The 17,960-nt window shown below is 35.7% G+C and overlaps 1 protein-coding gene across 91 annotated transcripts in view; it reads right to left on the reverse strand.

The window, feature by feature from the left end:
* SSBP2 (single stranded DNA binding protein 2) overlaps positions 1 to 17,960 on the reverse strand; it is a 339,004-nt gene that overhangs the window by 225,621 nt on the left and 95,423 nt on the right. For 87 of the 91 annotated variants that reach the window (NR_174563.1, NR_174559.1, NR_174539.1 and 84 more), the window contains one exon: positions 11,843 to 11,915. The exons of 1 other annotated variant lie outside the window; for it this stretch is intronic. Coding sequence is in view for 37 of the 90 variants with exons in the window: in NM_001400364.1 (NP_001387293.1) it covers positions 11,843 to 11,915 (73 nt within the window). In the remaining 53 variants the exon portion in view is untranslated. Of the gene's footprint in view, positions 1 to 11,842; positions 11,916 to 13,383; positions 13,545 to 13,830; positions 13,903 to 17,960 lie in introns of all 91 variants that reach the window. 3 more of the 91 variants (XM_047417064.1, XM_017009309.2, XM_017009308.2) reach the window with 3 other exon arrangements.

Below are 17,960 nucleotides of genomic sequence, written 5' to 3' on the forward strand. Positions count from 1 at the left end.
AGGCAGGAGAATCGCTTGAACCCAGGAGGCAGAGGTTGCAGTGAGCTAAGATCCCACCACTGCACTCCAGCCTGACAGAGCAAGACTCCGTCTCAGAGGGAAAAAAAAAAAAGGAGTAACTGACATGCAGTAAGTGCCTGGTAACTGTTAGGTGCTATTATTTTTTTTTTCTTTTACCTAGGAGGGTATCCCTGTAAAAACTTTATTACATCATCATTGTCACCAGCACCCACAAAATTCCAGTGATATTCTATATAAAAATATTCAAAGTATTTAGGGTTGTGCCAAACAATTTTAACTTACTAATCAGAATAGTTTTCATCTTGCTGGAAACCATACATGTAACTAGGAAAAAGGAACAATCAGAGTTGGAACTAAGCAACAATTGTCTATGCTCCTAGCATAAATGGAAAAAGTAAAAATGAATCATTTAAACAGAAAATTAAGCTTCTATTTAAAATCATTTCAGAATTAGTGCCCTGTTACACTGAGTTATCATGTATACCAAATTCAGATCACCATTAAAATATCATTCTAAAGCTAACTCCATTTTTGAGGTTTTTCTTTTCTTTCTTTCTGTTTCTTTTATTGAATCAGAAGGTATTTCAGGATCTTAAGGCACAAAAAACCACCATTATTACTGTCAATATGAACATCAATTATCACCACTCACCCAGAAACTTGCAAGAGATTAGGCTTAATATTTTGACTTCAAATTATACCTTAAGGGTTGAGTTTTTAAATAAATTCGTGATTTGAGGGTGTGGGCAGAAGAAGACATAAGTCTCTCATAAAATAAGAGTTTTTAAAAGTTGCTGATATTAACTTTCTAATTGTTTACATTTCAGCTAAGTTAGAGTTTACTATAATAAAAATTTAAAACAAGGTCAATATCTCTAAAAAAGTAAAAGTTCTGACTAAATACTTTTGCATGGATGTCTGAATAAGTATTCATACAGTGCCTTTTCTAAGCACTGGATAGCAGTAAACACAAAAGACAGAAATCCCTTCCTTTAGGGAAATTACACCTCAGTAAGGAAGATAGACCCAAACAAAGAAACAAACAAAAAAGTAAATTATGTTTATATGAGAAGGTGACAAATGCAGTGAAGGAAAACTAAGCAGAGAAGGGGGATAGAAAGAGCAGGAAAACAGTAAAGTGGAATTACAACTTTAAATACGGAGATCCAGAAAGATCTCAAAAAAAAAAAACTCTATGCATAAGTATATGCCTTAGTTTTTTTAGCTTAAATCATAAAAATTATGTAACAATACCCCAATCAGTAAAATATGCCCAGAGGCCCTTAATACTACTAAGAAGTGAACAACTGTAATTACAGATTTCAAAAAAATTCAAGGAATTCTTTCCATCATCTACTATGTAAGAAGTTAGGAATTCTTATCCCAAAAGGACTTTTTAAAAGTTTTAAAACAGGAACTCAGAAAGTGGTCCTAAATGTAGAAACAACCAAAAATCCTCTTTAATAAAAAGATGAAAAAAGTTAAGTGTCATTAAAATCACTGAAATTGGTTGCATTTTCAGAGTTCTTAAGTACATAAAGTATAAATAAATGGGAACCTTGAAGTAAAACAAGTAATTTGTTCTCAAAAAATAAGAGAAATTTTTTGAAGATTAGAAATGGGGCCAGGCGCAGTGGCTCACGCCTGTAATCCCAGCACTCTGGGAGGCAAAGGCAGGTGGATCACCTGAGGTCAGGAGTTTAAGCCAAAATGGTGAAACCCCATCTCTACTAAAAATACAAAAATTAGCCAGGCATGGTGGTGTGCGCCTGTAGTCCCAGCTACTCAGGAGGCGGAGGCAGAAGAATCACTTGAACCCAGGAGGCGGAGATTGCAGTGAGCCGAGATAGCACCACGGCACTCCAGCCTGGGCGACAGAGTGAGACTCTGTCTCAAAAATAATAATATTGATAATAATAATAATGTAATAGCCATTTTGAGGTGCTAAAAGGAAAAATTCCAGGGATTAAGGAACTTGAAGTTAGAAAAACTACATATGAACAATAAACCAGAACACATCATATAAATATAGGCCAGATCCTAATTTTAATTATCCTAAGTGGTAATACAAATAATTTGTATATGTATGCCATCTTTTATCTGATAATTTCAGTTCATCGACATTTTATATTATCTTGGTTCATAAAAAATAAGAAATAATATTTAATGAGATTTATGAGAAACAAAACTCTGATGTCCTGCTAAAATTATAATTTAGTCAAAAACCTATGTCTCATCCTTCTCTCAAAAACTCTGATGTCCTGCTAAAATTATAATTTAGTCAAAAACCTACGTCTCGTCCTTCTCTCAAAAACTCTGATGTCCTGCTAAAATTATAATTTAGTCAAAAACCTATGTCTCATCCTTCTCTCAAACTTTTCTCTTACCACTTTTTCACTAGTTGGTATCTTCTTGAAAGAACATAAGAATAAATAAACCCTCACCAACGTACTCAGACACACTAATATTCCTAATCACTAGAACCATCCTAATCATATGACCAGCAAATTTTTCAAAGTACTGTCCTTATGTTTCATCTCAGTTCATCTTGACTTTACATAATATGACTGTGAAATAAATAGATTTTACTATACTCAGTTAAAAGAACAATGTGACATAGCTTATGGAGGAGTGAAAATGGCATGACTAGGTTTCAATGCCAGGGTGTGCGGGAGGTAGGATTAGACTCACAGTCTATGAGACCCACTGCCCCTCATCCTTACTAAGCAGCCTCCCCTCATGCACTTCCACAACTTCCACAGTCCATCTCCAGCTGTCTCGGGAGATAAAGGACTAAAGGAAACTACCTATATGGTTTGTATTTGATATGGTCTTTTATGAGAAGAAGCCTGAGGTAATACATTTGTATTTTAAACAGTTTTACATCATATTATTCCTCAGAGAAACTAAAAAAGCATCACATATATCATCATTTCATGCTCACAATATTTTTTACTACATAGTATTCATCCTTCTCTCCTTAAATTACAAGTCTGTGCCAGAAGCAGGTAAAACTTCCGTCCATCATACTGAAGTTAACATAAAATCCACCCTTTTATAGTTATTGAATGAACCACACTTAAAGCTATGTTTTAGGTATGTCCACAGAAGAGATGGTCTGTGTTTACACAGTGAATATTGCTAAGTCCAAATGGATCACTATTCTAGATACCACTTGTTTAAAAAAAGCATAAAATGGTGCTCAAGAAGAGCCAAAATAGAATCCTGACCTGTAGAAAACTAAACCACATTCACTGTAGTATTGTTAGAAAAAAATGAAAATTAGAAACAGCCTGAGAAACATTCACTAGTGGTGACTGTAAAATAAATCTTGATACTTACATACTACAGAACAGTGTGCTATCATTAAAAAGAATGAAATACAGCTACCTGGAAAGAGAATCATGCTCTACTGGTTTTTCAAGATGGAAATTTGGAAGGTTGGAGAATATTATGTATAGCATAAAACCTTTCTGCTTGGAAAAAAAAAAGTATGTATACATACATATGTGTGCTTGTAGGTGTGTGTGCATTTTTAAAAATCACATCAAGCCTACAACTATTATCTGGAATAGGGAAAAGGAGGACTTTCATTTTAAATTATATTCTACGTAGTTTAATTTTGTTTTTTAGCAAATATGAATTAATGATGGGTGGTATTGAGGAATGGCCAGAAAATATTCCTAAATGTCAGCAGTCATGTTAAAAACAAATTTTCTGCTGTTTCTGAAGAGGTATTTTCTGTTGTATTGAGTTTCGTGGGCTTCAGGCCTATTTAGGTTTTTGGGTGGCATCTTTGCCAATAACATTTTCTCTTTATTCTGTTTCTTTTTCTTCCATTATCCCAGCATCAATGTGTATTTGCCCAGTCCTAAGGCTTTTTGCTGCTTAATTATCTACCTCACTTCCTTCTGTCATTTGACCAGCCAGGGGCTGTATTCTCCTTTAACTTTCATGTAAATCTCAAGGCCCATTCCTAATGCCATATTCTGCACTTCATGGCCTTGTCTATGAATATGCTGTTTTTATCATATGATCTAACATTTTCAGCATTTCTTCATAAATGTAAAACCAAACATTGAATCATGAACAAAAGGTATATCAATAGGAAAAAGACATGTCTTGTGGTTTAATTATAAAATACATACTATCTGATGGTCACATGTGGGAAATTTTACATATATGTAACAATTTTCATTGAAGCATTGTTTTAATTGAAAGAGACTGGAAACACCTAAATGTCCATCAGTACAGGGCTAGTGAACTATATCATGGCACATTTCATAGAATGAAATATGCTACAACCATAAAAAGAGAATTATGACATTTCATGAACCAATATAACACAATTTCCAAAATCTAACAAGTGAAACAAAAATTAAAGCACAGAATGGTGTATAAGCTAACATTTGTACAAAAAAGAAAAAATGATATAGATGTACATACATAAATATATACAGGTATACACACACACATTTGCTTAATTTTTCATTCTTATTTGCTTCTGGCAAGGTATACTGGTCATTTACCTATTATCTCTCAGCCCTACACCCACCCTTCTATACTCCATTCTATACTTGGGGCTGGGATTCTGAAAATCACATTTCCTAACCTCCTTGCCATTTGGCTTCCTGTTAAGTTCTGCCATCAGGAGACACTAGCAGGAGATCAAAAAACAGGAAAAAGAGAAGCTTCCTGCCTCTGGCTCCAAAAGTGAAGCCGGGATAGCACGATTCTGGATGCCGGCAGTACCTTTTTGGGGGTTCTAGTCTTGTCAATGTGGGACCTCTTCAGCAGATCCAGACCCACTTCCACAGCATCTCCAACAATGCAGCAGCAGGTTTGAAGGTGATGGGTTCCAAACTTTTCATAGTACCCATAAATCCTTTCATAATTTTTAATTTAAACCAATATCCAAAGAATAACTTTTAATACCATAAAACAATAAAACCAATTCCTGTGTTAAGAAAATAACCTGTATACCTATGTGTAAGTTTCTTTCTAGACTAAATTCCTGAGACTTCTAATTTAGACATAACCTACTGTTCCCACCAATTTTCTAAAATCTCTCATGTATAGAAGCATGAGTATATCTATATACTAAACCAAATGTAAAAAAAGTTGAAATTGAAGTAAACATTTTTCCTTTCTTTTTTTTTTTTTTTTTTTTTTTTTGAGATGGAGTCTTGCTTTGTCACCCAGGCTGGAGTACAGTGGTGCGATCTGGGCTCACTGCAACCTCCACTGCCCAGGCTCAAGCGATTCTCCTGCCTCAGCCTCCCGAGTAGCTGGGATTACAGGAGCCCACCACCATACTCGGCTAATTTTCGTATTTTTAGTAGAGACGGGATTTCACCATGTTGGCCAGGCTGGTCTCAAACTCCTGACCTCATGCAATCTGCCCGCGTCAGCCTCCCAAAGTGCTGGGATTACATGCGTGAGCCACCGCGCCTGGCCCAAATTTTTACATTTTAATTCAAAAAATTAAAGGCAATAGATGTTTAACAGGAAGAAAAAGCTGACTATACTTTGAAGCAGATCATCTAAAACTGTGCTGTTCAACATGATACTCGGTAGTCACGTGTGGCTATTTCAGTTTAAAATTAAGTTAACTGAATGTTCCTCAGTTGCACTAGCCATATTTAAAGCTCATAATAGTCACACATAATTAGTGGCTACCTTATTTAACAGCAAAGATTAGAGACCATTTCTATAATCACAGAAAGTTTTATTGAGTAGTGCTGCTTTCTTTTAGAAGAATGAAAGAAGTCTTCCTAAAGAGGACTACCTCTTATTGGGAAAACTCCTTAATGGATCCTTTCTATTTTTGTTTTTATTTTTTTGACACAGAAAGACAGAAGCCACTAGGAATGGTGCAAAAGGAAGAATGCAGAGAGGAAAACAAATACTTGACTTTCTATGTAACAAGAATTTAGGAAGTTGCTCATGGTCTCTTAGGAAGAAGCTCGGGGGTCTGGAAGGATTCAGAAAAGGAAAAATGAGAGAGGTTATGAGAAGTCAACAAGATAGAAGGCAAAGGCATGCTGAGGAAAACAGCTTAGTGAAAAATTCCCTGTAGCAAGGAGACCACAGAATTTAAGGTAGCTTATGTCTAGTATTCAAGTTAATGTTGGTGCCTATACTGTACAATGCCTAATCTTTTTGGCTATCCCTCAACCTTAAGTGAGAATCTTTCATACAAAAGAGCAATGAGTTAGTGGACCTCTGAAATCATGAGAAAAACAGAAAACTTCAGGCATAAAAAAGGGATAGACCATAAGAGGGAGAACCAGAGTGGGGCTATAATCACTCAACAAGAGCAAGAACCTACAGTACAAGAACCCTAAGCACCCAATAAAGGCTCACAGATACTGGAGAAGACTTGCAACAATCTACAATATTAGGGATTAGAGCTGGACCCATTTTTATAGAAAGAGTAACACCAAACAGTAGGATTATGGGCCATCCAAGTGACAGACACTTGGAACGCACATGTACACATCAGGCACATATTTATGCCTCTATTTTTGTTTAAATAAGAAACTATACAAGATAGAAAAAAAGTTGGTCAAGATTTTTTAAAATGACACTTTTGAACACTTACTATAGGCCAGGCACTATTATAAGCAATGTGCATATACTAACTCATTTAAACCACAGCATAACTAAAGTATTGTTACAATTATCATCATCTTATAACTAGGAAACTGAGAAAGTAAATAAGATGTAGAACATAATTTAAACCCAGGATGTCTGGCCCAAAGCAATTGCTTTTACCTCCTATACTATATTGCCTCAAAATTAAAGTTCGAGAGACTGGTTAGGAAATACTAATTAATATTTTCTCTCTTCATATAGGTAAAAGGCAAACAGAACAGAGTTTTGGAGTCTATGATGCTCAATAATTTAGCAATCCTAATAAAATCTGAAGAAGGAATCCCTTAGATGTTTTTAAGCTTCTATTTCAGGCTAACTTGTTGGCTAACTTATGACAAAGAAGGGGTAGTCATAATGCAAAAATTTTAAGAAAGGGAAAAAATCTAGAATCTTTATAAAACTCTAATTCTTAATTTCATTTGTTAAGGGTATTGAGCCTCATTCTGAGACATGAATACCATGCAAAACTTCAAGGAAGAGCAGCCATTATCTTTGTATAACGAAATGATATGACCAGAAAAAGGATAGCTTCTAATGAATCTAAAGTAACAAAAGTTAATGTAGAATTGGAAAGAAGATTCCTTAGCATTCTGTTTGTAATTATTAAATGTTGAAGAATAACAAAGATAAAAGCAGAGGAAGGGCTTTGTATTGAGAATATCTCTAAATAATATTCCATTTTTTCCCCTTGGGAGTAAAAAAAAAATGAAAAGTCACATAAACTACATTTTGGATTCAGGTAGTGGTTTAAAATCTATCATGAATCAGAGGTAACACTGAGCTAGTTGGCACAACCTAGTTAGAGAAATGTTTTTATTTCTATTGTTAGTCCATTTTTTCTTTTAATTAAGAAAAAATGACTGGGTTAATAATAATGTGCCCCACTCTTCTGACTGATAACAAAAGCCATCAAGAGCAGTCCAATTTCTGATAGCCCAGGACAAGGGCATTTTTAGAAAATCAAGATTGGGCAGCTGAGATACACATCTTGCTTGTTCAGATAATGCCTGGAGTTCCAGTTGGCCTTCTCGCAACTTCACCCAAAAGAACAAGCCCATACTAATGAAAGAAGTGACCCAGCACAGTAAAACCTGATTCAGAAGAGCTCATTAACATCACGGTCCTTCTTAGCCTCATCTATCCAGAGGAAGAATGTCAAATTTGGAAGAAGTGGTCTACTTCTCCTTGAACCAGGGTGAGAACATTGGATAATGTTATAATAATTGATAACAATTGGTGCCATTTCAATCATTTCCATTTTATTATAATAACCAACTCAAATAAGTAAGTCTCCCTATTTTACATTCCCATGGAACTATTTTGATTTAGGTAAAAACCTGGGGGTAGACTAGGGAGGATTTAGGTAAGATTGTTTTTTTACTACTCAGACCAGTTAAGAAGTCATTCTACAATAAGCGGCCTCAAATTTTCTGCCTGATCGAAGAGAAACTCAGAGAGAAAGCAACCCTCAACATAAATTATTACATTCTCTAAAATATTACATTCTCCTTTTTTTTTTTTTTTTTACCATCCATGGTTAGGGCAAAAGGGCACCAAGACACCAGAGTACAAACCTGATGATGTCATTTTTTTTTTTTTTTTTTTTTTTTTTACTTTAAAACCTTCAAAGGCTCCCTTTTTCCAAAGATAAAGTCCAACTTCCTGGCATGTATGCAAAGGTCTTCATGTGCAGGTCCCTGTAGATTGTACTATCACCTTAGGTGAAACCCTGGGAAAACCGTTCTAGGAAAAGCTACTTCTAAGGTGGAGAGGGGAGGAGAGTTTTAGGCAGAGGGAATATGCCACTGAGTAAAGCCCAGATGACAGAAGCCCCATGGTATACAGGAAAACCCAAGCAGCTAGATACTGTAGAACATAAAATGTGAGGGAGGAAATAGCAAACTATTGTAATTTAACCAACTGAAATTATCAAGAACTCTAGGATGTACTCAGCAATGGCTTATCACAAATCTATCTCCAGGCTTCCATCTTTTAAGTTCAGATAATTTACGAGAATATATTTTCTCTTCTTTAGTTTTGTTTTTAAATAACTGTACAAATAATATATGTATTCCTTGTTTAAAAGAATTCTGTGACTAAGGATAAAATCCCTTTGAACCCTTTAATGTCCCCACTCCCAAAACAACTAGTCTGGCATGTAAGTTCTTTCAGAACTTTTACTATACTTTATATTCATACTATACTTTATATTCATAAATATGTACCCACAAAAATATATAGTATTACTTTATGTACTAGGGTTTCCAGATACATGGCATACTTTGGCTTTCTTCTCTTACTAGACAATGTTTTGGAAGTCTATCTACATAAGTCCAAATTAATCTAACTTATTATTTTACATTATTAAAAACTTACAGCTCAATTAATTTAGCCATTCCCCTACATTGGTTATTTAGGTATTGATAATGCATTTTTACAGCACCATTCAGAGTTTGGCAGCCTAGATAGTGAAGAATAGTTCTGAAAATCACATACACTTATCTCCAAAGTCTAGAAATAATGTGTCTTCTTGGTGATAATAGTTCGTTTTCAGTTTGACGTCTCGTGTGAAAGTGAGGTAGACTAATAATTAAGAGAAATCCTCAGTTTTTGTATTCAAAATGCAGCCAGAGAAAATGAAATAATGACAAATACTTGTCAATATGTGTGAATCTCTTCTGAAATTCTGATTTCATTTCCACCAAACAGTCCTAGAAATTCTGTATATACATTTTCCACTGAGCTCAAAGCCTAGGAGTCTAGTATCTAGTTATTTGCTTAATCCACATAATGCATTTGAATCCAAATACTTGAACGTCCTTGAATAAGTTAGCAACATTTTTCTTTTTTGATGAGGTTTAATAATCACTGTATCTAATATCTTACAATGTTGGTAAGAAAATATAGTTTTGGGAACCTTCCAGGATTAAGTGAATTGAGCCAATTCAAAATGGTCCTTGATACAAGGAAGGAGATCATTAAATCTTTTAAGTTTCTACTGCATTAAAACAAAAATTTTAAATTTCCAGAGTGCACTATAGATTCCTTTAAGACACTGTAAGTTGACAGTGGTTAAGAATACAAAAAGACATCCTTTTTGCAATCTCAATCACTTCTTCTATAATATCAGTGAATGCGACTTAGAAAGGTCATTGCCCTAAGTCTTCTAACTAATGATTTCATGAAACACAGATACACCAAATTTTTGTTTTGATTTGAATAAACTTTTGAAATCAAATTTTTATTATACTGCATATATTCCTTCTATAGTAAAACAACTGAGTTCTTACATGTTCTGGCTAAACCTCTAAAATTCCTTATCTGCAAATAAGCCCTACCAGTTCACATATACTAGTTAATTAGAAATAAGAGTGAGGGTTGTGTGCGTTTGTTTACTTTGAGCTGCAGCTAAATCTCAAGAAGGCTATACCTCAGGCAGGGAACTATTGGCAATGAGTTGTCTGTTGTGCTCTTGATGTGCTGGGGACCAAACTGGTGAGATCACCAGAGATAATACGATTTCAAGCAGCACTGTCCAACAGAAATAGAAACATGGGCCACAAATAAGAGCCACATGTATAATTTAAAATTTTTTAATTTTTAATTTTTATGGGTACATAGTAGTATATATATTTATGGGGTACATAAGATATTTTGATACAGGCATATAATGTGTTATCTAATTTAAAACTTCTAATAGCCACAAAAACTTTTAATAGCCACATTTAAAAAGAAAAGGTAAAATTAATTTTAGTAATATATTTTATTTTACCTAATATAGGCAAAATATTATCACTTCAATGTATGACCAAAATTTTAAAATTATTAATATTTTATATTCTTTTGTTCACACTGTCTTTAAAATACTGTACTTCACACATATAGCACTTCTTAATTGCATCATATTTCCAGTGCTCAAAAATCTATATATGGCTAGTATTTACCATATTGGACAGCACAGATATAGAGGAAAAACCAAAAGCACTGGGATTAACATAGACCTAAGTCTGAATTCTAGTTCCATAACTCACTAAGCTCTGTGGCCATGAGCCAGTTATATAAACACTCTGAGCCTTGTTGTCCTCATCAGTAAAACGGAAAGAATATAACCTGCTATGCAAATTTCTTATAAGAATTAGAGATAATATATGTAAAATACCTTGGCACATTGTATGCCTGGCACATAACAGAGCTCAATAAAATCCTCATCATCCTCATATACATAGGAGACAAACAAGCACCACTGTAAGAAAGGTCAAATTCCAGCCAACCTAGGTGCCTATCAGTGGTGGATTAGATGAAGATGGGGTACATATACACCATGGAATACTACGCAGCCTAAAAAAGAATGAAATCATGTCTTTTACAGCAAGATGGATTAAGCTGGAGGCCATAATAATAAACAAATTAACACAAGAACAGAAAACCAAATACTGCACATTCTCACTTAGAAGTGGGAGCTACACATTGAGCACACATGGACATAAACACGGGAACACTAGACACTACAGACTACTAGAGGTGAGAGGGAGGGAGGGGAACATGAATGGAAAAACAATCTATTGGCTGCTATGCTTACTACCTGGTGACAGTATCTATACCCTAAATCTCAGCATCACATAATATGCCCATGTAACAAACCTGCACAAGTACCTCCTTATCTAAAATAAAAGTTGAAATTAAAAAAAAAAAGAAAGAAAGTGAAGGTGGAGAAGAGAAAGAGAAGAACTTGAAATAAGGTTATTAAAATGTTTTCTAACTACAATCAATCAGCGATCATCCATACAAAATAAACAAAATCCACATTTTCCAAAATTATGATATTGTTCGAGTGAGAGATATGGTTGAGGGTTTATAACTCTCACAAATTTTTTAGAGTAAATTTTTAAAATTTGCTTTCTTGATTATTGTTGCCATGCTAATATTACTTTCCATTTCTAAAAAGAGAAAATGGCTGGAAAGGTGACTAGAAGATTGAGTGGCACAGAAGTGGCATGGGGATAAAAATGCTTATACATAATCTATAAAAACTATACTATGTATACGGATAACTAGGAATTCACTATATAATACATAACAAACTTTTTTCAAATAATTATTATAGTGTGTTTTCCATTCATTTATATAAGATCAAAATGCAATACAGAAAATATATAAAACATACCTCTGATAAAAATGTTTGAGCTGATTTCTGAGCTCCTACATGGAGCAGATATTCATATACGTAGAGTGCTAACCTGGAAAACAAATAAAATATTTATTGAGAAGAGGAATATTAAAATTCATTCTTTAAATAATGCACATCTTTCCATTGCTGAAATATCTTACACACTAACAGTGACCAAAAATAAACCCTTCCCATACTATTTCAATAGGAATTATTAATAATACATGTATGTTCAGAAAGAACTTAAAGTAATTAAAAGTAGCACATGAAGAAAAAGACAAATGTATTTTTTCTTGGCAAGAAATATATAGAGATTTTTTCTTGAATCATCTCACTTATCATAAGCTCATTCCCATTGCTATATCTATTAATAATCTCTAAATCCCATTTGAAGACATAATAACCTTTCATTAGTAAAAGAAATGAATTAAGTTAGTGAACTTTCCCAATACTTTATGTCCTTCAATCTTTTTGGCGAATGTTAATATAAACTCTAGCTGTTTGTAGAAACATATGCCACAACTTGCGTTGAATATCCATTTTAATATTTGCTCAGCAACTTCTCCTTATTCTTTAGATTTGATTGTTAAGCCAATAATACTTTAGTTTATAAGGCATTCAAATTCACAGCAAACTACAGCATTATGTAAACTTTAAAGATATCAGATCATATTAAGCATATGGGAGCTTACAGTTTAAAGGTTAACAAAATTATGTATAAATTTTTCATTCAAATATAGAATATTCAATGTGTTGTATACACAAACTACTCTCATTATCTTGTGGATTCAGAATTTTGAAGCTACACCATGTGGCTCAATTTCAGTTGAGCTGTTAACAAAATATTATTCATAAACCCAAATTAGTCTGAGGCAGTATTTTTAATGATATCTTGGACCAATGCCCAGATAGCTCACAACAGTTCAGTTTCTGCTACACTATATTTACCAATATTGAACCAGGTTTACAGTAAACAATACAATGTAACAATAACCACAATTCTGTGGTTATAGTTGTACCACTTCTCTTGCCAAGCAGATTTTCGACTGTTAAAGATTGATGGCATTTACAAAAATGAGTATTTTCCTTATTTTCATGAAAACATATCATGCATCTGTCATGAAAAGAGAAAGCTTGTACAAATTCAGTTGCTCTGTCCATTTAATTCTTTCCCCATTCCAAAATTGCCAAATACTTAAAATGAGAGTTATTCTGTAGCTACTAAACACCTTGAGAGAGTAGACCTGTTAAAGTTACTCATAGAAAGTAAGTTATTGACAGTGAGGATGAATGTAATTTAGAAACATCTCCAAACATATTCAAATTGAATGACACTTCCTACATCAGTGCTTCTCAACTCTTTTTCCTACCCTAACACAATAAGCTATATAGCAGGCTCCTTTCAGTAGCAGGATCTCCCTGTGGAAGTGTGGCTTATCACCCAAAGTACATCATAAGGGATACAGGAAATTGGAATATTCCTGTAGTTTCAAACAATCCTGCTGGTGATTCTTATCACACATTCTTCAAACACATACCCCACACCTTGTTCCCTCCACTAGTGACTCTCAACTCTACCGCATGATTCAGTGCCCATGATGGCAAATTGTATCTTGGAAAAGGATAATATTTGTAAAATCTTCTTGGATAGGCTGTGGAACCTCAAAATTGCCTGCCAGTGGCAGTTCTGCCCCACTGCCTGAAAAAAAAACATAGACTCAGGTAATTCCATGTGGCTTCTAAACCCTAAGCCTAGAGCCAAACCAGTGGTTAGCATAGGAAAGAAATCCACACCTAAGTAAAAGGCTGAACAATAAAGCTGGTCCACCAAGCTTGGGGAATTTGAAAGTGAGAGGCAGAGAGTGAATGAAGCAGGGGCACCATGACAGGCCTGGTATGGAGAGAACAGACTTCAGAACGGTCAAGGCCAGGGTACATCTGTGGCTGTGTCCTTTCAATAAACCCCATTCCTTTAAGTGAGTTACCTCCTTGTAACGTCTTCTTTTTCATATTAACGGGGGTAATATAGTTAGAAGCTTCTAAGTTTTCTTTAGTACCTAAGAAACAAAAAGTTTACCTATTTACAAGTAAAATTAAGTGACAGTCCTCACTTTCTCTCTCTATAAGTCTAAAACAGTGATTCTAAAAAATGTATTGGAAGGAACTGAGAATAACAGGGGGTAAGGGTTTCAACTGGAGATTCTGAAGTATCTTCTAAGGGTGTGAGCCCATCCTCCTACCATTAGAATCTGCTGTGGCAGCTCATTGTTACCAACAGGGTGATGAAGTGGGATCCGGCTGAGAAAACCTATCTATAATGCTACCTCATATATTCATGTTCTGCAATCTCCTTTGAACAAAATTAATGGTTCTCAGGCAATCAGAATCTATGCTCCAAAAAGGGTGTCAGGGAGCAATGCATGGGTGAACAACTAATTAAGTCTACTGCCATGATGACTCCATAATACATGATCAGCAATCTCCAATTTTTTTTTTTCATAGAATTTTTGGGAACGAGCTGTGTTTGATTACATGAGTAAGTTCTTTAGTGGTGATTTGTGAGATTTTGGTGCACCCATCACCCGAGTAGCATACACTGTACCCAATTTGTAGTCTTTTATCCCTCACCCCCCTCCCACCCTTTCCCCCAAGTCCCCAAAGTTCACTGTATCACTTTTTTTTTTTTCATTATACTTTAAGTTCTGGGATACATGTGCGGAACGTGCAAGTTTGTTACATAGGTATGTATACACATGCCACGGTGGTTTGCTGCACTCATCAACCCCTCATCTACATTAGGTATTTCTCCTAATGCTATCCCTCCCTTACCCCCTCACCCACCGACAGGCCCCAGTGTGTGATGTTCCCCTCCCTGTGTCCATGTGTTCTCATTGTTCAACTCCCACTTATGACTGAGAACATGTGGTGTTTGGTTTTCTGTTCCTGTGTTAGTTTGCTGAGAATGATGGCTTCCAGCTTCAACCATGTCCCTGCAAAAGACATGAACTCATCCATTTTTATGGCTTCATAGTATTCCACAGTGTATATGTGCCACATTTTCTTTATCCAGTCTATCACTGATGGGCACTTGGGTTGGCTCCAAGTCTTCGCTATTGTGAATAGTGTTGCAATAAACATATGTGTGCATGTGTCTTTTTAGTAGAATGATTCATAATCCTTTGGATATATACTCAGTAATGGGATTGCTGGGTCAAATGGTATTTCCAGTTCCAGATCCTTGAGGAATCGCCACACTGTCTTCCACAATGGTTGAACTAATTTACACTCCCACCAACAGTGTAAAAGTGTTCCTATTTCTCCACATCCTCTCCAGCATCTGTTGTTTCCTGTCTTTTTAATGATCACCATTCTAACTGGCATCAGATGGTATCTCATTGTGGTTTTGATTTGCATTTCTCTAATGTCCAGTGATAATGAGCTTTTTTTCATGTTTGTTGGCTGCATAAATGTCTTCTTTTGAGAAGTAACTGTTCATATCCTGGACCCACTTTTTGATGGAGTTTTTTCTTGTAAATTTATTTAAGTTCTTTGTAGATTCTATATATTAGCCCTTTGTCAGATGGATAGAACCAATCTCCAATATTTTAATTATCACCTCTGTGTATAGGATTTTCCAAACCTATCCCTGTAGTGACATCTTCCGTCCCAAGCTCCAAACCTACTTCTCCAAACTAAACTACTGTTTTAAGTTTGGTGTTTTTTGTTTTGTTTTTTTTTTTGAGACAGGGTCTTGCTCTATCATCTGGCTGGAGTGCAGTGGTGTGATCATAGCCATCTTCCTGCCTGCCTCAGCCTCCCGAGCAGCTTGGACTACAGTCACACACCACCACATCTGACTAATTTTTAATTTTTTTGGTAAAGACAGGGTCTTGCTATGTTGCCAAGGCTGGTCCCGAACTCCTGAACTCAAGAGATCCTCCTGCCTAGGCTTCCCAAAGTGCTGGGATTACAGGCATGAGCGACTGGACCTAGTCAGTTTGTTTCTAAAAATATGTTTCTCTCTTAAATTGACCACGTCCAAAGTTAAATTCACCTTCTCCATCTGTTTTCATAGTACCTTTTGCTCACCTTGAATGGAACACAATTTCCCTGAAAGTCAGTTTTCTCATGTGTCAAATAGGAAGAATAGTATTTTGCTTGTATTGTCAAAAGGATTAGAAAGCACAGTAAGTAATAACAATTGTTATAATTTTGGCCAATTACCAAATCATGTATTGGATTCTAAGGACACTATCTCTCCCACATTTGCCACTCCTTTCTTTCCTCCTTCCTGCTCTGGAGGAACCACCAGGAGTCACAGCAAGAGCAGGAGCTATAATATTTGCTGTAGCTTCAGATTATGTATTTCCCATTAGCTCCCGACAAAAGGACACTGATTCACCAGAAATAAGAATGTCCAGAAAGTTCTGGGGGAACAGCCCGGAACAGTAATAAAAGATACTGTTTGAACACAAATGATTCCGGCAGAGGGGAGTGACATTGTCCATCCATGCAGGTAAATCACAGCTTGGTGCCATGTCTAGTAACGTGAGATCACCAAACAGAAGAACTCAACATTTTGAGCAGGGCATAGTGGCTCATGCCTGGGAGTAATCCCAGGAAGTGGAAGGCTGAGGCAGGAGGATAGCTTGAGCCCTGGAGTTTGAGACCAGCCTGGGCAACACAGCAAAACCCCATCTCTAATATATATATATACTTATATATATTTTAAAAATTAGCCTGTATGGCTCACACCTGCAGTCCCACTGATTTGGGAGGCTGAGGCAGGAGGATCACCTGAGCCCAGGAGTTCAAGGCTGCAGTGAGCTATGATCCATCATCGTCCTCCAGCATGAACAATAAAGCCAGATCTTATGTCTTAAAAATATACATATAAAGAAAAAGGCAACATTTTATTTGGATTACTAGACAGTGAAAATTTAAAGATAAATATTGAATATACAAATATTTGAACAGTAATACTTTTGAATTAACATCTTCCTTTTCCTTTTTTTCATCTTTAAGAAATTTAAGTACTTTATTAAAATACAGAGTGGCTATTTAGCAGAGTAGCTAATGTGATCTAAATACATAGAAACAAATTAACAAATACAGTAAGAGTCAGCTGCAAAAAGTAGAACCAGTCGTTTTTAAAAAACATTGATTAATGAAAAAGCCTATCAATGATTAATGGATCATACATCTTTAAATTATCTTCATTTCATTCTAATTTTAAACTGGATATCAGTGACCAAGTTATCAAAATGATGACCAACAATTCTAGAGAGGGAGCCAAAGCCCGAAATGCAAAATATATCTGGTACAGCTCAGCACCTTCTTTACTCCTTGGTCACCACAGGCGCCTAAACTTTAAAAATAAGAACAGAGGTAGAGATTAAGATGGGAAGAACACAGAGAAAAGCCAAAGCCTGAGGTCATCATATAACACCCACACATGTGATGGATACTAGACTCACTGTCCCTCAACTACACACACGTGTACTCACAAATGCAGAGGGAGGCAGACTGGAAACATCAACCAACATTGACAAAATTCCAGAATTGGAATTGTATCGGTCTCCAGTTCTGACAGTCAAATATTCCTTCAACTAGGCTTCATGAATTCAATATCTATAGTAATTTGGATTAGAACAGGTCTTCAGTTTAATCTTCTATTTTTTAAGAGTAGGAGGACCCCACTTACTCTTTACTTTGCATGATTCTAACAAAAGGGGTTTTTTTTATTTAAAAATTATACAATTAGAAGGGAATTAAAGATATATAATTTTTTTTATGAGACGGAGTCTTGCTCTGTCACCAGGCTGTGCCAGGAGTGCAGTGGCGCGATCTTGGCTCACTGCAACCTCTGCCTCCCAGGTTCAAGTGAATCACCTACCTCAGCCTCCGGAGTAGCTGGGACTACAGGTGTGCACCACCACGCCCAGCTAATTTTTGTATTTTTATTAGAGACAGGGTTTCACCATGTTGGCCAGGATGGTCTCAATCTCTTGACCTGGTAATCCGCCCACCTCAGCCTCCCAAAGTGCTGGGATTACAGGCATGAGCCATCACGCCTGGCCAGATATATAAAAATTTAAAAAATACATAAAAGTGT

Source organism: Homo sapiens, chromosome 5, assembly GCF_000001405.40.
Source record: "Homo sapiens chromosome 5, GRCh38.p14 Primary Assembly".
In the NCBI taxonomy this organism is placed as follows: Eukaryota; Metazoa; Chordata; class Mammalia; order Primates; family Hominidae; genus Homo; species Homo sapiens.